We start from the raw sequence: 21,305 nt of genomic DNA, 5'->3' as shown, positions 1-21,305 counted from the left end.
GGTCTCTGATGTCTCTCCTCTTCTTATAAGAACACCAATCTTATTGGATTAGGGCCTCGAACTTACAATCTCATTTAACCTTAATCACCTCCCTATAGGCTTTATCACTAAATACAATCAAATTGGGGGTTAGGGGTTCAACATACTAAATTTGGGGGAGGCAAAATTCAGTCTATAATACCTTGAGATAGATTCCAGAAACTTGTGTTTAACACACACCTGGTTCCCTGATCCTTAGTTTCCTCACCTGTAAAATGGGAGTAGGGGCAGGCACTAATAGCACCTATCTCATAAGGCTGTTTTGATGATTAAATGGGATAGAGATGTGGAAGGATATTTTAGCATTTTGCTCTTTTTTTTTCTTTTTTTCGAGACAGGATCTCTTGCTCTGTCACCCAGGCTGGAATGCAGTAGTGCAATCACGGCTCACTGCAGCTTCAACCTCCGAGGCTCAAGCGATCCTCCTACCTCAGCCTTTCAAGGTCCCAGGCTTACAGGCATGCACCACCATGCCCAGCTGGGCTTTACTCTTTAATGGTTCTCTCCAGAAATTCTTGTAGAATTGGGTTGAGGTGCCTAGTCCCTGGGGTTTTAAAGACTTGTGTGCAAACAGATCTCAGCTCTGTCCATTTGGACAGGTCACCTAAATGTTTTGAGCCTCCGTTTCCTTATCCTCATAAGCCCTCAGATTGTGGGCTTATGAGGTCTAAGTGGGATGGACAATCTGGCAAACAGTAGGCACTCAGCAGGAGTCACTTGCCTTCCTGCCCTCCCCTCAGTTAGAGCTTGGGGTATGGATAGCCCTTGGTGCCCAGCAGGGAGAGACCCCCCCGCCACCAAGCCCGAGGCAGGGATGGGGCAGCCCAGTGATGTGAGTGTGTTCTGCACATCCAGACAGACCCCAGCATCCAGCTGTTCTGCCGTCGTCAAGAAAAGGTATCGTTTTAGATGCCAGTGCTGTCATGCCAGCCTCCCAAAGCCTGTTATTAATCATAATAACCATAATGAAGATGATTTGGGTTTGTCATCGGTGGGCCCATCGCCATGGGAACGGGGCACCCCAGGGTGTTAGTGCCAGGCCTGTCTCCCAGCCCCCTACCACACCCGTGCCAGGCGTGGTCACCACTCTACCTCCTGCCCTGGCCCCAAAATGCCAGCTGCTGACCCCATGAGTCAGGAAGAGGTGGCAGGGGTGTTTGCAAAAAGATGGGAGCAGAGAAGCTTCCCTTTGGCAGGGGCACCCCAACCCACCCCACCCCCAGTGGCCCAGTCATTGCAGGAGAATGTTGGCTGGCCTATGCCAAAGACTTTCATGGAAGACATTCCTACTGTGGGCTCTAGTCTCAACTCCACTTCTGAGTCCTCGAGATAAACACACACACACACACACACACACACACACACATACACATGTGTAATGATTATGTCCAGTAATTGCGTGTCTCTGGCAGCTGACACAGTCCTGTGCCACGCACTGTCTCATTTTAATCCTTGCAACAGCTCTGTGAAGTACAAATTAATGTGCCCATTTTATAGATGGGAAAATAGAAATTTGGGTCTGCTCAAGGTTCCATAGCTAGTAAGTAAGAGCCTTCAACCTCTGTGGGTGTTCCTGATTCTAGAAGCAAGAGCTGATTTAACTCTGCTGACTCAAGTGTTTGCTAGTTAGTTTGAGTAGTAGTTTCTAGCACAGGATGTGTGTATCATGTCTTTTGTGTAGAATGCAGGAGCAAGTCATGTGCTATTAATCCTGAAACACTGAGATTTGGACCATTTCCGTATTTTGTATAAATTAGAACAGTGATTCTCAACCAGGGCCATTTTTCCCCTCCAGGGGACATTTGATGATGTCTGAAGACATTTTTAGTTGTCATGATTAGGGGGAGGGGGGTGCTAACGGCCTGTAATGAGTAGAGGCCAGGGATGCTGCTGACCATCCTGCAATGCCCAGGACAGCCCCCGTGTCCCCCAACAACAAAGAACTGCCCAGACCCAAATGTCAATAGTGCCAAGGTTGAGAAATCCTAAATTAGAACAAATTTAATGGTGTCTGCCTGGCCACATTGCTTTCTGTTGCATGCATGCCAGTCTGCTCCTAGCCTGGGAGTGCAGGAGGTGGATGGGTGGCCCAGGGTGGGATACCTGTGGTAAGCCACCATCCAAATGCAATTAAGAGTTGTGATTGCCGCAGTTACCCGGCTTTGCTTCCTTTCCTACAGTCCCTGTTTTGGGTTCTACAAAAAGTCGAGTATATCCAAATGGATGCTACCTTCATGTGTGAGATGGAGGGGTTATGAAAGAGATCTTAAAGAATCGCATGTATGGGATACATCCAGCCTTACCCAGCTAGTGAATGTCACTGCAGCACTGGAACCCTGAGCCCCAAACTCTTGGAGCGTCATTCAGGGATCTTTCCTCCACCCAGTGTTTCTACAGGTGTGATCTGCAAGTTGATGTGGGGGAGGACATGAACAAACATTTTCTATCTTAATTTTAATGTGTATTAGAAAATCACTAGTCTCCATTTATGGCCACACTACAGAGTGACCTATTGAAATATATTTAAGTTAAAAATGCATTTCTTAATATATAATAGTCTAGAACAGTGTTGTCCAATTTGGTGGCCACTAGCCAGATGTGGCTATGTAAATTTAACTTTAATTAAAATGAAAAGTTCAGGGCTAGGAGCAGTGGCTCATGCCTATAATCTCAATACTTTGGGAGGCTGAGGTTGGAGGATCAATCCCTTGAGGCCAGGAGTTTCAGACCAGCCTGGGCAACATAGCAAGATCACATAGCAAGACCACATCTCTAAAAAAAAATAAAATAAAATTAGCAGGGTGCGGTTGCTCACGCCTGTAATCCCAGCTACTTCATAGGCTGAAGATGGGAGGGTCGCTTGAGGCCAGGAGTTCAAGCGACCATGAACTATGATCTCACCTCTGCACTTCAGCCTGGGTGATAGACAGACTGTCTCAGCAGACCTTGTCTCTAAAATTAAAAAAAAAAAAAATGAAAAGTTTAGTTCTTCAGTTGTAAGCCACATTTCAAGTGCTCAATAGTCATGGTGGTTAGTGGCTGCCACATTGGACCATATAGAGGATATTTCTGGCATAATGGAAAGTTCTATCGCATAATGCTGCTCTTGAAGGTATTTAGATATGGCAAAAATCATGATTATGGGATATGAATGAGTGCGTTTGAGGGAGCAGCATGTCACAACTTCTACATCTCAGAAACCCTCTCTGGAAGAATCTAGCTAGCCCCAGGTCCCCACAGAGACCTTCATGCTGGAGGCTGTCATCCTGAATGACCTCACTTTTGAGGATGATTCGAGATATGCACCCCCTCTCCCGCTGACTGCTCCCTTCCCCTGTGTTAATGAGCCAGTTCCTAGGAGTCTTGAGTCAGTGAAGATCTCAGAGGGGGTCTGCTTAGATTTCAGACCCACATGGAAAGCTCTGTCTTGCTAATGACTTCCAGTGAAAGAAGGGAGCCAGCCTCCTTCCACATCTAAGAATTTACCTAAGGAATAAATTAACATGGATGAAGGGAGATATTCCCTGTATCTACCCAAAGATGTTCATGGCAGCATTGTTCATAATGGCGGAAGAGGGAACCACCCGCCCAAGGCCCAACAGCAAGGAGTTGGTTGTATATACTTTGATACATAGGATGGGATGATGTGTTCCAATTACACTGGTGTTCTTTAGGGTTCTAGAACACCCTGAATGGGGCCCTTGTTGGAACTTTGTCCTAACTTCCCCTTCTGTCTAGATATTCTCCTTGTTCACATAACTGGATCCTTTATGTCACGTAGATCTTAGCTCACAGTTTACCTGCAGTAAGATCCATCTTATCTTTGATGCATCCTCTATTTTAATTATTTGTACGATGCTTATCACAATCTTTAGCTTTTCCTGTTTATTGAACTCATTTGTTGTCTTCTTTCCCTACTAAAGTGCAAGCTCCAGGAGGGAAGGGACCTTGTTGGTCTTGTTCTGTGCCAAGCACAGAACCTAGGCATCATAGGTGATGGAAAAACACAGTAGATTATCATTATTTGTGGATTCACTGAAATGTATTTGTAATCCCCCAAATCAACACTCACAGCACTTTCACAGTTATTCAGGGACATGCAGAGTGGGGAAAAGTTTGAGTTACCCAATGCACATGTTTCCAGCTTAGGTCAAACAGGAGGATGTTCTGCCTCATTGTTTCAGCCTCATGCAGAGAAGCCTTGAGGATGGAGGTTGAGACAGAGTGGGCAGTGCAGAGTAGCATAAGAAGCTCTAGCTCTGGGGCCAGTTGGATGAGATTTGAATCCCAACTCTGGCACCTGTTCGTAGGGCTGCCTCAGACAAGTCACTTAACACTTCTGAGCCCCATAGTCTATTATGTAAAATAAAACAGAATCTGTTAGATAAGTTGTTTTTAGGGTTAAAATTATAAACTATGTGAGGGGGTGTGTGCATGTGTACATATTTCCCCAGGAGCAATGATTCAGTATTCTGCTAATTCCGTGTTCCAGTGACTTTATAGAACGTAACTGCCGTGAATAACAAGAATCCACACTGTCATTGAATGAAGATGGGCAAGAAGGTGGGTGCCTCAGAGGCAATGGAATTTGATGATGGTTTGGATCCTGAGTGTTTCTCTAGAGCAGCCTTCCCTGCACCTACTACTGGGTCTCGGCCTCCAGTAGGTGGTCAGGCAGTGCTCAATGTGGGAAGCGAGAAGGGCAGCAGAGATGGCTCCAGGGACGTAGGGTCAGTGCCAGGGGGACTGGTCCACCCTGGGCTATGAAACAGAGCTCATCCTGTGCTTTGCTTCTCCAGGCGGGAGGACAAACTGCGCATCCAGAATGGCTGGCTATGCCACCTGGCACCAGAGATCATCCGCCAGCTGTCCCCCGACACAGAGGAGGATAAGCTCCCCTTCTCCAAGCACTCTGACGTCTTTGCCCTTGGGTAAGTGGGCCCTGCCCTGGCCATTGAGAGCCACAGCCTGGGCAGAGGGGCACTTCTCAAGTCTTTCAGTGCTTTTGGAAGGGCCAGGGTGTACCTGTCTACAGGGCCAAAGTGGCTGGATTTTTGGGTGAGAATGGAGGAACCTGAGTAGGGTATACTAGAAAGAATGACCCTAACAAACGTGTGTGTCTGGTTTCTAATGGATTATGTGGCCTTAACAAGTTACCCAACTCATTTACTTATTCAATAGCTATTTGTTGGCTGCCTACTATGTGCTAGGATTGTAGCAGATGCAGGGGATACAAGATTCAGTGTTGTCTTCATTATTACTACATAACAAATTACCCCAAAACTTAGCCACTGAAAACATTTCTTATCTCAAGTTTCTGTGGTCAGGAATTTGAGAGTGGCTTAGCTGAGTGGTTCTGAGTGGGCTTTTATGAGGTTGCAGTCAAGATATTGGCTAGGGCTGCGGTCTCATCTGAAGGCTCAGCAGGCTGGGGATCCACTTCCCTGGTGGCCCACTCACACAGCTGTTGGAAGGAGGCCTCAGTTCCTCAACCCTTGGGCCTGAGTATAGGTTACTTGAATGACTTCACAACATGGTGGCTACAAGCCTCATTGTCATTTATGATCTAGTCTCAGAAATTTACATATCATTGCTCCTACCATATGCTGTTTGTTAAAAGCAAGTTGCTAAATCCAGTCCACACCTAAGGGGAGGAGAATTAAGCTCTATCTTATACATAATGGAATATCAAAGAATATACTGGACATATTTAAAACCACCAGAGGCCCCTACTCTCTCTTTCTAGTGGAAGGCAGATAAGGAAACATCCAACTTTAGCAAAGTATGATAAATGCTATTCTGAGAATAAACACAGGACTGTGGGAATAAAAGAGGAACCAAATCCAATCTGGGAGATCAGGGAGGGCTTCCAGGAGATGATAATCCTGAGCCTAAGTTAAAGATTGAGTACAAGGGCAGGGTGAGGTGTTCCAGATCAAAAGACTGTGCAAAAAGTTTCAAAAAGAAAAGAGAACACATTGCCCACATGGAATAATATATAGAAGGGTTGGGGGAGGAAAGGGAGCTGATGGATGAAGAGTCAGGAAAAAAATTAGGCTGGGGGTGGTGAGATAAGAGACTAGAGAGGGAAGCACGGTCAATCCTGCAAGGACTTAAAGGTTGAGTTAAGGAGTTTTCATTTCATCTTCAGTGCACTAAGGAGCCATTGATGGTTATTAAACTCTGGGGGAAGGGGGAGTGACATAATCCTAATTTGAGTTTTAGATCAATCAGATCACTCTGGCTGCTGAGTAGAGAATGGAATGAAGAAGGAGAGGATGGGGGCCGGGTGTCCAATACACAGGGAAATGCTGGCAGCCTTCACTGAATCAGAGCCTGTGGGTATGAAAGCTGAGAATGGACATCAGCAGCACCCAGAGGAGGTGGAAGCAATAGAGCTTGATGATGGATTGAATTTGGGTGGTGCCTAGATAGCTGCCTTAAGCAAGCAGGTGGAGAGTGGCATCATTCACTAAGGTGGAGACCATGGCGGTGCAGCAGGGTTGGGGCATGCCAGGGAGGAAAAGAGGTCAGGTTTAGACACAGTGAGTTTGAGCTATCGTGGAGATGACAAATGAAACCACCAAAACACAGCTGCCTCTACACGACTAGTATAGAAAAGAGCAGTTTAGGACTTGTCAGAAAATAGGTAACTGCAGCCACAGACAGAATGAGATGTCTTTGGAAGTACAGAAGGAGAAGAAGGGCCTAGGACACAGCGCCAGGATGCAGGGAAGAGTGCCCTGAGAAAATATAGCCAGAAAGGCTTCTAGGCTCCCATGGCCATGCAAATCCTTGCCTAACCTTGTCCACATGTGGTTGCAAGGGCTGGGGGAGATAACACTGGGGAAGCGGTTTGGGAAAGTTGCAGGCCTGCAGATGAGTGCAATTAGACTTAGCACCACCGAGAGATGTTACAGAGACAGTCTTCCTTGGAAAAGGGCCCCCACCGCATCCTCACTGAAAAACCCTGAGGAGATATTTCTGGAAGATCAGAATTCTCAACATCTGTTGCTTGGGCCCCTTTAGAGGATGTCAGTTGGCCTGATTATTTTATGCCCAAATCTTTATCTAGTTAGATATTGTTATCTGAAACCAAATTGCAATAATTAAGTTGGTATAGTTTAGTGTAAATTTAGCAAAAGAAAAAAAAATGTGATTAACAAAATGTACCAGAATAATTGGTTTTCTGCTGGAGTTTTCATCTTCAGCAAATCTTTTTTCCTTAAAGTGAGTTTCTCTTGAAAGTTGGGTTTAAAAGGAAGTTTTAATGAGGCTTTTATTTCTGACACTGCTGAATTCCGAAGGACCCGGCTCTCTGGTTTCCTGCCAATTAGGTGCATCCTGTTGCTTGGGAATCTCGTGCTCAGAAATGACTTAGAACAAAAATGAACTTTTTAAAGAGGATTGAGCACTGTGTTAAGCCTTTTATGTGCATTGTCTCACAATTTTTACAAGCACCCTTGGAAGCAGATACCATGTTGCTCCCAATTGACAGGTGAGAATACTGAGGCTTCAGATGGCTCAGTGACATGCCTTACAGTGATGAATGATGGTGCTGAGATTCACCTGGAATATCCTGTACTCTAGAGTTGGAGCTTTTAACCATAGAGTCCCAGTGGGTTTGGGATTTATTTTGCCACTCAAAGCCCTATTTCTCTCAACTGTAAATCAAGGATAATAAATCCATTGAGGTGTTCTAAGAATTGAGTGAGAAAACATTTGTAAGGTACCCAGCACAGGGAATAACTCAAAACACCCTTCCCCGTTTCACATGAGTGGTGGATGAGTCTGTTTATGCCTCCTTCACCAGACTCCAATCGCCAGCCACAAGCTCGCACCTCCCAAATTGTGCACTTTCTTGATTACAAAGGACTCTTAAATAGGATGGAGTCTAAGCTTCCTAGGATAGCACGTTGGCCAGTGGCACCATCTTGGAGTTAGATGGACTAAGTTCAGCTTCTGGCTGCCCTTCTTGTTTGCTGTGTTATCTTGGGAAAGACACACAACCTTTCTGGGCATCAGTTTCCTCATCTATGAAAGGCGGATAATATTAATAATAATGCCTCCTGTTTTAAAATGTAGGTTTTGTTATTATTCAGGCAGCATGAGGCCAACAGTCGCCTTTGAAAAGATGGTTACTCACAGTTCCCAGAGGGGGCGTGCCACACCATGCAGTGTCCACAGGGGGCAGCACCAGGGTCGGTCTGGAGGCAGAGGAAATGTGAGGAAAACGTTGGGAAGAGCCTTTATTGTGGCTCTTGGGAAGGAGCAGGGGAGGCAGGGTAAGAAGACTTAGGATTGGCTTGTTTGAATGATTTCAGCAGGCTCTGGTGTATAGGGGCTGGGGAATATTGGCCTGGAACTTGAAAGCCCAATTAAGGAGGTAGTTGGCAGTATGAGTGTGAGTTCTGGATTATCTGATTAGCCTGTGAAAGCTGTGCTCACAGGTGAGTGCTTTACTATTTCCAGGAATTGGCTGTTCCTGGAAGGGGCAGACCCTCCAGGGTCAGCAGAGCCCCAAGTAGTCAAAGCATCAGAATAAAAAGACATGATGAATAGACCTCCCTCCACAAAAAAACTTAGAATAGTGCCTAGTGCAGAGTAAAACCTCAATAAGCATTATTATTTCTTATGATAACTATAATCTTTTAGCACCTTCTCTTGAGAGCTTTCTGATCATCTAACTTGACATCCGAACACCTGAGCATCACCACCCCTTCCCCAGCCCAGAGGTATAAGGTTGTCAGGTAGAAGGAAGATGTAACTACGAAGTGAAACCCTAGCAATAGTTGATTTGACACAGTGCTCTGATTAGTAAAAAGGATAGCAGAGTGCTTTGTGTTCTTTAAAGCAAACTTACATGAAATCTTAGAGTGGAGGAAAGATCACTTTCTAGGATTGTTTCAGATATTTCCTAAGTTGGGGAATCTTGTGCTCAAAGCGCTGAGATCTGTCCCCATGATACAGCTCAGTGACACCCTAGCATCCTGTTTCATCCACTGTGGTCCTCACTGCTATTCACACTTCACAGCATCATTTATGCACCACCTGGCCCATCACCCCCTTCATGGCACATGCTACTCACTAGAGCAATCCTCTCTCCATTAATTACAATGTCATGACTTATGAAACAGAAAATAATGTGGTAAATCCCTCTAGAATAATCCTAGCATGGAGTTGTTTTGGCATTCGGAGTCCCAGATAAACATCCTTCCACTGCAATGTTGTCATTATTCTCATTTATCAGGTAAGAAAACCTGCATTTGGAGAAGTGAAGTGACGTACCCAGGAAACCTACCCTATTATACTACTAGTATAAATAGAATCAGGACTTGAACCCAAGTCGCTGTCAAACCTCTTTTTTTCTTTCCACCGTTCCGCAGGGTGGTTTATACTTAGAAAAAAAAAAGGACAAGTATAAAAGAAAAAAAATCCTAACCTGTCACCCAGAGTTAGTTATTGTTAACATTTTGCTATGCTTTACTTTATTCTCTTGTTCATACATATATAATGGTTTTTTAAAAAGCAATATCAAATCCTACATACAGTCTCATATCCTGCTTTTTTTTACCTAAGGTTATATATTGAGCATTTTTTATGTCAGCAAAATTTATTTGAAATGTTTTAATAATAATACAGCATTTCATTTTATTTTATGGATTTACCATAATGCATATAACCAATTCCTCTTATTGGACAATTGTGTTATTTTTACTTTTTTTCAATATTATATATAGTGCTTTAGAGAATATCCTTATAAATAAATTTTTGTATCCCTCATTTATTTGCAATGATTTCCTAGAATCATTGCAAGTAGAATCAGGGACAGAGATCCTAACCACATTATATTTAACTATTCATTAGAAGATATCCTGGGATAAACATGACTTCTAAGACATTAAGAAAGCTTTAGGTATGTCGCACATGGCAAAATACCAACCCCATGAGGAAGAAAGTGGGGAGAAGAATGGGTGCCAGGAGACTGGCTGGGTGGGTGTGTGCTAATAATGGAGGTACAAGGTTGCAAGTGACACACCACACCAACACCCCTTTAACAACGTCTGCCAACAGCACAATCTGGTATGAACTCCACGCCAGGGAATGGCCTTTCAAGACCCAACCAGCAGAGGCAATAATCTGGCAAATGGGCACAGGCATGAAACCCAACCTCAGCCAGATTGGCATGGGAAAAGAAATCTCGGTAAGTCCCAAGATAGGTCCAGACTTGGGGGATGAGGGGAGACACAGACACAGTCATGGGCCTTCTTTTTACTATGTGTTAAGGTTACAAATGCTTTCCCATAGGGTGACCAAAAAAATATGCATTCCAACCTTGTCAGATGGCAGTTTGAAGCTTAAAAGGCAAGGCTGCTGCACTGTGCCTGCAATTTCAGGTACCTGCCACCAGGGGCACAGTAACACGTGGTCAGGTTTTTCCTAACTGTGGGTTGCTGAGTTAGGTAGAACCAATATATCTCTCTTTTTCTGGTATTTTTAAAAGATATGAATTAAAACATCACAAATATTAATGGTTCCAATTTTATTTGCATCTACATAATAATTTTAAGGCATTATCTAACTCAGAACAAGACATACAGAAACAGAGAAGCCTGGGTATACATTAATATTAACAATCTTCCTCTGAAACACAGCAGGAAGAATCCTCTCTTTTGATCAGAAGACACATAAGTCAGAGAAGGAGTAATGATGTGGTATGTTTCTAAAGATTACCTGCACCTAGGTGATGAAGAGATTACTAAAAGTAACTTTTCTCCTCTGACTTTGAAGGGCTCTTATAGTATTGAGATATGGATGGAGACCCCAGGATTCCCTTTTATCCCTTCTCTTGAGAGAAATGTCAAGAAACTGTTTGGGAAGTATTGTTGACCTCAGTGTATTCTAGACCTTCTAGAATAGAGCTTACCTGGTTGTTATTTGGGCTCAGAAAGTACATGGGAAGAAGGATGGATGGATGGTAAACGGATGGATGGATGGATGGATGGATAATGAAGGATGAAGAATTAATGAGATAATTGACATAGATGGGTGGATGTATAGATGCATGCATGATGGGTGGATGAGTGGATGATATATGGGTGGATGGATGGATGAAGGATGGAAGAGTGAATTGATATGGATGGGTAGATGTGTAGATACATGCCGGATGGATGGATGGATGGATGGATGGATGGATGGATAATGAAAGATGAAGAATGAATGAGTGAATTGACATAGATGGGTGGATATATAGATGCATGCATGATGGGTGGATGAGTGGATGAATGGATGGATGGATCATATATGGGTGGATGGATGGATGAAGGATGGAAGAGTGAATTGACTGGATGGGTAGATGTGTAGATACATACTGGATGGATGGATGGATGGATGAAGGATGGAAGAGTGAATTGATTGGATGGGTAGATGTGTAGACACGTACCGGATGGGTGGATGGATGGATGGATGGATGAATGGATGATGGAGGAATATGGAAATGGGGCAGATGAGTGGACAAATTGGCAGACCAAATGTGATGCCAAAGAGTAATCAAGAAATCACCATTTATGTGTAATCACCACACATTGGTTTCATTTAGGACATTCTTCTCTTCTGCTGGGCCTTTGAACAAGAAGAGAGACCTACCTTCACCAAGCTCATGGACATGCTGGAGAAACTGCCAAAGCGAAACCGTCGCCTGTCTCACCCTGGACATTTCTGGAAGTCTGCAGAGTAGGTTTTCTCCCTTAATGTCTCTCCCCACTGCCTTGTCCTCTGCCCTTTGTCACCTTTTTGATCCCCTCTGCATCTTTTTTACTCCTCCCCCAACAAGCTCCTATCCATGTGCCCACCCTTCGGCAACCACTCTTCCCTACTAGGTTTCTGTTCAATGGAGTCTGTTTTGGGGTTTGGGTGCTGGAGTCTGTCCTGTGGGTCTTGGGTCCTGCAGCTACCCTGGGTTTCTCATTGCTTATCTCTTCCTGATGAAGATTGATGCCCCGATGAGTCTGAGCATCATGCAGTGAGGTGATGTCTGAACCTGCCAAGCCCCCCATATGTCAGGTATTCAGAGTACCCCTCCACGAGGCCCAGCTTTCTGGAACTCTTCCTTCTGAGCCAGCAGCCTGCCCCTGTCATGGCAGATCTCAGCTTCCAGCATTCTCTATTGCATGAATGCCAGAGCAGGAAAGGCTCTGAGCTCACCAGAAGTATCTCTGCTGATTTCCTCATAAGAGGCTCCAGACCATGCTCCTCCCCCTTGTTTCTGGCTGGAGATCAGTAGCTCTATCTGAGATAATGAGTGTGGCATCTCTTTCTGGGACCTCTCTCGACAGCCCCAGCTTCCATGACTGAGCTCTCTAGAAGGTAAAAGGGAGACAGGCCCAGATGAGGCTGCTGAGGGCTCCCCATGGCTCTGCCAGTTGCTCCCAGGTATTCATGGTTGGCACACTCACACAGACACTCTCAGGTACTCACACTCATGCAGACACAGGAGCAGTACTTAAAAACATACCTCTATACAAATTCATTCACACACAGCTGCACTCAGATCTATACTCACACACATCCATATACAAAAACATTCCATGAACGCACATCCCTACACAGAAGCCTGCATACATAGCCAGACTCAGACACATACACACACAGGTACACAATCACATTACATGGTACATGAAGACATGTGTATATACACACTTGCACTGCCATGGCTTACCCTCTAAAGACAAGCAGTACCCACAGATACAGATACTCCCACCTGTGTGCGTGGTGTACCATAGCCATTGTCAGTCTTCCCATGAAGTTCCCCAAGGCGGCGTCCTGAAGAGCAGATGTCCCCGGGGGCTGTGGACATTAGGAGGCTCTTTTTTTACTCCCTTCCCCTGCCATTTGAGCTTGCTGAACCTGAAGGATGGAATCTCTTCTTTCCCCAGGGGCTTATCCTTCCCCAGACCATTGGAAGGAGCATAAACTTTACAGACAGACATAGATTGAAATTGCCACTCCACTACGTAATAGCTGTGTGGCCTGGGGCACATCACTTGGCCTCTCTGAGCTACAGTTTCATGCTCTGAAAGGTGAGGGCAGTGAAACTGCTCTAGCAGAAATGCTGTGCAAGTCCCATGTGGCCACGTGTAGAGCACCTGGTTAGCAGGTGCCTCTCAACATAGCAGGTACTCACTGTAGCTCAGCTGCTGTCATCTGCCAAGAGGGAGACCGAGCCCTATTGTGGCAGCCTGGCAGGATTTACAATGGATTGGATATGAAAACAGACAGAAGGAAGCTTTAACAAGCAAAAACTCTGCCCAGCTAAAGGAGTGCTGGCAAGTTAGAGAATTAGTGTTGGAGCTCCAGGCAGGACCTAGCAGTTCAACTGAAGAGAGGGACTTAAAGCTTACTGGTTGGAGGGAAAGGCAGGAGGCTTCTCTTTCTATATTTTATTGTGGAGTTGGGCTGGAAAAAAAAAAAAAAAACACAGGACTGTGGTCTAGCAGAATAGGATGCTGGGTTCAGTGGAATTTTCCATTCATTCCCTCTTCCATTCATTCATTTTTTTTTTTTATTCAGCCTATGTGTACTGAACATCTTTTATGTGCTAGACACTGTTCTAAGAGTGAGAATACAGCAGTCAACAAAATAAATGAGTTCCTTTTGCTGCAGTGGACATCAAAGTCTGCTCATAGCAGGAGGCTGCAGTGTGGATCCCAGTCCCACCCCCTCTTCCTGCCTCTCTAGCTGTTACAGAGCTTTATCCCAGCCCCATACACTAGATGACCATTCCTAGTCCATGCCCAAGTGGGAAAAGTTCTGGGTTCAAATCCTGACCCTGCTGCTTCCTGGCAGTGTGCCCTTTGGCAAAACACTTAACCTCCCGAAGCCTCAGTGTTTTCATCTGTGAAATTGTATGATTCTGTCGTAGAAGTTCGTCTCTGATTATTTTCATCTTTGAAAATATTAGTAGCCTATATTGCAGGCTCATCTCAGGCTTAAATGGGATCAGGTGTGTGGCAGAGCCCAGCATATAGTAAGAACTCAGTTAACAGAAATCTCTTCCATGTCTTCTTGCAGAAGACAGGAACAGTTCATCTCAAGCCACCTGGCCCACTGAGAGGGTGTCATTCACAACGGATGACATCATCATGTCCTTGTGACCTCTCACCACTCTCTCCCTTCTCTCCCCACTCCAGGCTGTGACCTTTGGACATCGGGACGGCGCCCAGCTGCCTGGGCTCCCGTCACCTCTCCCTCCCTACTCTGTCCTCTGCCAGCTCAGGAGGCCAGAGACTCAGCATCAGAGGGTACCAACCCCGACCGACCTGGGAGCACTGGACAACTGCTCGGCGGCCTCCCTGCACCTCAGACTTGAGCCCTTTTCCTCGGGCAGGGTTGGGGACCCCCGAGCTAGGACTGAACCGGACCAGCCAGGGTGATGCGTTATTGATCAGTGCGGCCCAGGGGACAGCACTAATGAGAGCACTGCAGGCTGCACGTGGTGCCTTTGGGCTATGGGACTAGGACAGGAGACCCCACGTGGGGGGGCTCACAGACGGGGCTATGTGTGTGTGTGTCTGTGTGTTTGACGTTGTTCACTCTTGTTTCCCCTTGACAAGCAAGAGCCAGACTGTCCCAATGACGGGGCACTCCTCAGTTCTGTCTGTATGTGGTAGGTTCCAGCTGTACCATCTGGGAAGCTAAGAGGAGGGTACAGAGCCGAGTGGCAGCTTAGTCAAGGCTACTGAGCCAAGATCGAGCAGGGAAGGTCGGGAGTGGCTAAGCTCGTTCCTTTGGAAATATCTGTTTTCAGACACCCCAACCCGAGCCTGTCATGGCGTGTGGCACCTTTGCATAGAGCTCTGAAGTACAGTAGGAAAGTTAGAACGTCTTTTGAGTTCTGGGTCTCTCTGGGGGACCTATTCCCCCATTTCTGCTGTTTTCTCCTGTTCTCTGAGAGTAGCATCCCTTTTCACCTCACTGCCCGCACCTCCTTGCCATTTGGAAAGCCAAGATGACTTCTGAGGGGCTCCTTAGAGCTCACCGTCATTCAGGGCACCCCCTGAAGTCTGGTCCCTGAGAATCAGGGCTCTGGGCAGGGAGTTCTAGGACATTCCTTTTCTTCCCTCTTCTCTGCTACTCACACCAGTGAAGCTTATTCCCCCACCAAGGTGGATGCGGGTTCTTGGGGTACGTCCATGTTGGGTTATGTGGCTGTACCTATGATAACACGTTTGCAAAAGATTTCCCTGCCTGTCACCCTTGAGGAGTCCTGTTGGGGGAGCACAAAGGGAGGATGTTTGTTACACTTCTGCGTTCTTTGCTCTAGCCTGGTGCGGGGTCCTCAAGTAGCTTCCCCATCGGAAGCCTGTGTCCCTCACCTGTGTGTGTTCCCTCAGTGCCCCACCTTCCCTCCCTCCTCTTGATCCCAACCTGGGCCGGCGACTCTTCCTGACCATGTTGGGGAAGCCCCTGGTGTTCTGTATCTGTAGGAAGGATGCCGAGAGCAGGCTGGGCATGCAGATGGGAGAGGAGAACCTCTGGGTCATTTGCCCATGTTTTCAAAGCCCTGACCCCCTGCATGTGACCTGATACAAAAGGGAAATCTGTCCCCAAGCAGAGCAATAGCAGGATTATCTGGGCAGTGAACAGGAAGCCCAGGGCGGCCACAGCCCCTCTGTGTTTCCTGGGTACTACCTGGGCCTTAGTTTTCTTGTAGCTACTATCTATCCAGGCATCTCCCTCCTAGAGGGCCAGAGAGAGGAACTGGAACTTCAAAAACCCTACCTGATCTTACTTTCAAAATCCAAATAGACCTATGAGGATCTCTTCCCCACCTTGGGTGACTCCCAGACTGGTTCATGCTCTGGGGGCCAAACCTGCTTCCAAACCGGGAAGAATGGTGAGATCAGTCATGCTTCCCAGGAGCCTGGCTACAGGAAACCCCTGTGTTTCCCAAAGGGCCCTCCTGAATTGCCTTTCCAACACTCCCAGCTTACTGGGACTAGAGGACTAAAGACCCCGGCTTGGGCTGCTCCTAAGCAGACACTGCTCTTCTGGGGACATCTATGGCTCTTGGCTTGACGACGTGTGTGTGTCTTGGAGGCATTTTATATATGTTTGCCTGAGCCCCAGCCACTCTGGGGTTGCTGGGGATGGCTCTTGTCAATGGACACCTCCCCATCCCAACACAACACTCTGTGTCCCAGCCCTGGGCCTGGACTTGCACCTGTCTTGGCTCTGCCCAGCAGCCTACTGAGTGCCTGAAACCCAACCACTCACTTCTCTTCCATCACACCAGGACTTCTTGGGTCCACAGGCTCCAGTCCTTGTCATGTTCCCTTGTGCCAAGAGACAGGATATGAGGAAGGGAAGAGGCAGCCAGGGTCTACTACCCTGCAGCTGAAATGTCCACAAGAACTGGCACCTTCTCACTCTTGCCTCTCTTGTTTCCAGAATTAACTAAAATGTCCAACCACAGCCTTTGGCAAGGCCTAGCATGATCTCCAACAGCTGATTTTTCCATTCATTCATGAGCACCAGTTTGGGATTAAGGACAGGGCCTGAGTGATCCAGGGGAAAACCCAGCCCTTTGTGGAACAGGGTGCCTTGGGTCCATCCCTGAATCTGAGTCACTTGCTCTTGACTTCTCGATCTTTCCCCACTTCACTACTCTGTCCCCACCTGCATTGGTCTCTGCTGCAGCCAGGCCAGGATCCTGGCCTTCAGTGCCTTCCTGACGCCCCTACCCTGTCCCCTCTACACCGCCCTGACTTGTTGAGAAACCAGCTTTAATTTGCACACATTTAAATCCAGGAAGAACCAAACCGCTGCTTTCCCTGCTGGCTTCCATCTTTATTCGCTGATGAGGTTTTGGGAGGAGGTTATATTCATCTTACGCAGGGAGGAAAAAAAAAGAGGAAAGAGGCTGTATATTTTTACATCATAATTACCAGCCTCACCTGCAACTCATTCTATACAATGACACGACCAAGATTTGTGTGTTTGCCCTTGTCCCATCACAGCTGCACACAGGTGCCCTGTACACATAAGTCACTGACTCAGCAGCGAGTTGTTCCAGTCAGTCTTGCTTTTAGCAAACCGTCATATACATGGGCTTCCCGAGGGGACCAGTCCACAGGGTGAAGATTCACCAGGAAGCCTTGGCTTTGCAGAGAGAAACATCTCAGCTTTCTTTAAAGGGCATGTGGATTTGCACATAAATTTCACCCAACTCTTCCAGGATACAGATTATTCATAAAACCAAGGAGCTTCCTTCTTGGCCCCCTGTGGGAGGACGTGCCCCTTGTGTCCCCATCCCCAGAGCCAAGCTGGAAACCCAAAGTCATTGCTTAGATCCATTTTGTCCTGGTATTCCTTTTACTGATCAAAGAGAAAATTTTCATCTTGCCATGGACCCCCCCATCCTCACCCCATCCACTTGTCTCCACAGCTACCTTGGATTGTCAGTCAATAGAAGCCCTTGACTGATATTGACCACTAGACTTTTGTATCCAGGGAACCTAGTTCTTCCCTTTTTCTCACCTCCCATGCCATATACACACATCATGCCCCTCCCCACAAACACACGAAACCAGCCTTATCTCACCTTCCACCATTCCCATCCCCACCTACAGCTGATCATCAAAGGTACACGGAGGAAGTAGTAGACACGGAGCTCAGGCCAATCATTATCTTGAGAAATCTAAACCCAGGGCTGTCAGGCTATGCCCCATAGGCCATACCCAGCCTGCCAAATGGTTTTTACATGTTTTAATTGAGGAAAAATCAAAAGAATAATATTTCATGACATGAAAATTCTATAACATTCAAATTTCATGTCAATAAACAAAATGTTATTGGAGCACAGTCACCTCTCCATTTACACAACCACGGCTGCTCCTATGCAACTGTGACAGAGCCAGCTATTTGCAACAGAGACGATGTGGCCCACACAGTCAAAAACTTTTACAATCTGGCCCTTTCCTAACTTTGCTAGCCTTTGATAGAGAGGATTGGATATGGCTGTCAGGGGAGGAACAGGAGCCTTTGATAGAGAGGGTTGGATATGGCTCTCAGGGGAGGAACAGGAAGTTGGAGGGGGAGAGAACTTGTTTCAGCGGAAGAAGGCCAGCTTGCCCCAAGATGCAGCGGGCTGCCTCCGGAAGTAGAGAACTCCCTGTCCTTGGATAGGGTGGAGCAGATGTTGACTGCTTGGCCTGTGTGATATGGAGGCAATTCAGGCCCTGAAGGCTGGACCAACTCCCTGGACTTTAAAACTCTTCGTTTGCTAAGGGGGGCCATAATAACAAAATGTCACACACTGAGTGGCTTAAACAACACGAATTTATTCCTCACAATTCTTGAGGCTGGAAGTCCCAAGATCAAGGTGTCAGCAGGGTTGGTTTCTGGTGAGGCCTCTTTCTTTGGCTTGCAGACAGCTGCCCTCTGATCGTGACCTCACGTGGCCTTTCCTCTGTGACTGCACATCCCCAGTATCTCCTCCTCTTCTGATAAAGACAACAATCTTATTAGATTAGGGTTCCAACGCTCTGTGATTTTATTCCCATCCCCGGCTTTCTTTCCCCACACTGGTTCTCAATCTTGAGTCCCGAAATATGCCCTCCCTATCCTCATCCTGTGCCTACCTTCACTTCACCCATCCATCCCCTGCAGGCTGGTCTTGTTCCACTGTGCCACCATATCCCCAAGCCCCCCTCACCTCCGTGAGGCTCCTAGGACTGCTGCAGCAAACCACCACCCACTGGGGCCTACAACAACAGATGTATCATCTCTCACCCATCTGGATGCCAGAAGTCCAAAATCAAAGTGTTAGCAGGGCCATGTTCCCCCTGAAATCTGTAAGGGAATCCTTCCTGGCGGCTTCTGAATTCCTGGTGCTTTCCTGGTCATCATTGGCATTCCTTGGCTTGCAGCTGTGTCAGTCCAATCCCTGCCCTCATCATCTCTCTGTGTGTCCCTATCTTCATATGGCCATCTTCTTATAAGGACACGAGTCACATTGGATTAAGGGCCCACCCTATTTCAGTATGACCTCATCTTAACTAATTATATCTGCAAAGACCCTCTCTCCAAATGAAGTCTCATTCTGAGGTACTAGGAATGAGGACTTCAACATGTCTTTTTTTTTTTTTTTTTTTTTTTGTTGGGGACACCACAACTTATAACACCCTCTAAGACATTTTCTCTTGTGCCTTGACTGGTCCTCCACTGTAGAACCCAGGTGCCCTTGAAGATAGATTCCCCAGAATTCCTGGTCTACAAGGTCAGGCTGTTGCTGTCATGCTTACCAAGCTTGCCCCAATCAACACGTCCCATCACTGAATTCCAACAGCTCTGGATCTCAGTTCTGTGGCTGTATGGGAACAGCCTGTGTGTAAGTGGCTTGTCTGTAGCGGACTGTCACTTGACCCCTGAATGTGCCTCATGACCCTATCCAAAGCAGTTGGTGACACAGCATCTGATTTTATCTATACTCTTGTTCATTGACAAAGGAGTGGATTTTGATGAGCTACATTTTGCTGTTTCCTTTTTTGGCTTTGCCTGTGATGTGGGGAAGTTCCTAGGCAGACTCATGTGGCCACTCTCCCTGGCTCCCAGCCTCACCTCCTCCCGTACCACCTCACCCTCACCTGCACACACCTGCAAGGGAATCACTTTGAACTCCAAGGGGAGTGACAGGCAGCAAATGTCAGTCTGGGTCCTGGAATGTGGAGCCGCAGTGAACCTCTGTCCTCTCTGGTCAGTGCCTGACTATGATATTAACCCAAATCCCAGACTCCCTTCTCGAGGCCCTGCAATCCATACCCATTCTGTTACCAGTTTAGTTTTGAAACCAGTAGTGGGGCAGGAGGTTGATGGAAAATCTGCGGTCCCAGTGACCTCCTGGACTTGTCTTAGTAGTGCCTGGCACATAGTAAGTGCTCAAGAAATGTTTACAGAATGCAGACAGAGAGGTTTGCTGGGTAAGAGTAAGACCCTGGCACAGGGAGTTAGAAGGGCACCATTGGCAGGGCTGGATGGTATTGGGATTCCCCTTTGCCAGACCATGTTGTGGGTGCCATATCAACCCCAATGAGTTTGTTTGTTAGGTTTGTTGTTGTGGTTTAGAGTTAGAGTCTTGCTCTGTCACCCAGGCTGGAGTACAGCGTGATCATAGCTCACTGCAGCCTCGAACTCCTGGCCACAAGCAATCCTCCCACCTTAGCCTCTCAAGTTGCTGGTACTACAGGTGCACACCATCATGCCTGGCTAATTTTTTATTTGTTGTACAGACAGGGTCTTGCTATGTTGCCCGCGCTGGTCTTGAACTCCTGGTCTCAAGCAATCCCCCTGCTTCAGCCTCCCAAAGCACTGGGATTACAGGGCTAAGCCATTGTGCTGAGCCAGTTTGCCAGGTTTAATATCTGTGACGTATGAAGCGACCCATTGAGTCAGGTGGCCCAGGATGTCTAGGAGGCAGAGTAACAATCCACCCTGAACAGCCCTCATTCACAGAGCACTTACTACGTGCCAGGCTGGAATTCCTATGATGGTTTGGGGAGATCAGTAGTCTTATTCTCGTTCCAATGGGGCAACTGTGGTACAGGGACAGAAACCAGCCTCCAAATTGCAGACCCAGCATTTTAAAAACGAGTCTTTGGGCTCATCCATTCCCAGGAACCCACCTCCAGGTCAAGGGGTTCATGTCCAGCTGCTCATGGGGATGTTACAATCCCAGCCTCTGAGACTTATTGGCAACTTGGAACCAGGAAAGAGAGAGAGGAAAAGCAGGAAGTTGTGGAAGGGAGGGTGCAGGGGCTGGCAGGGACCATACTGGGAGTTTGCACGGAAGCTTGAACTTATGTTCTCAAACTGACAGGCTGCCAGCAGCAGCCCGGATTTCCAGGAAATGTACATCTGGGTTGGCAGAGTCCCTCCTGGGTCCCTCCAGTATCCCTGCTCCAGGCTTCCTATCCCCTCCGTCTCTCCTGCTGGATGTTGCACTGTGGTCCCGTGTTCCTGAGAGGCGTACATCAGTGAGTGCTCTTCCCTCTCAGGGGTGGGAAAGGGCCCTTCCTTCCCACTCATTGGGATCATGCAGCTCCCATTTCCTAACACCAAGAATATGAAGGATTCATCTCATGGGGTTGAGAATGGCTGTCCTCCTTCCACTGAGGACTGAGCTGGAGGAGATGGACTCTGTCTAGAATGTGCCTGATCTAAATAAGACCTTGTTTCCCAAGCATGTCCCATAGACCTTTCATTCCATG

At 47.0% G+C, this 21,305-nt stretch overlaps 1 protein-coding gene across 5 annotated transcripts in view; it reads left to right on the top strand.

The window, feature by feature from the left end:
* Positions 1-21,305, top strand: part of KSR2 (kinase suppressor of ras 2) — a 515,979-nt gene that overhangs the window by 487,557 nt on the left and 7,117 nt on the right. For 4 of the 5 annotated variants that reach the window (XM_011538224.4, NM_173598.6, XM_011538225.4 and 1 more), the window contains 4 exons: positions 4,839-4,970; positions 10,114-10,243; positions 11,639-11,772; positions 14,229-21,305. The exon at positions 14,229-21,305 is cut by the window's right edge and continues 7,117 nt beyond it. In XM_011538224.4, the coding sequence (XP_011536526.1) occupies positions 4,839-4,970; positions 10,114-10,243; positions 11,639-11,772; positions 14,229-14,235 (403 nt within the window). In that variant the 3' untranslated portion in view covers positions 14,236-21,305. Of the gene's footprint in view, positions 1-4,838; positions 4,971-10,113; positions 10,244-10,830; positions 11,097-11,638; positions 11,773-14,228 lie in introns of those variants that run through there. The other variant, XM_017019208.3, reaches the window with a different exon arrangement.

The sequence above is a fragment of the Homo sapiens genome, chromosome 12 (genome assembly GCF_000001405.40).
Source record: "Homo sapiens chromosome 12, GRCh38.p14 Primary Assembly".
In the NCBI taxonomy this organism is placed as follows: domain Eukaryota; kingdom Metazoa; phylum Chordata; class Mammalia; order Primates; family Hominidae; genus Homo; species Homo sapiens.
This window is presented reverse-complemented; position numbering and strand designations above follow the sequence as displayed.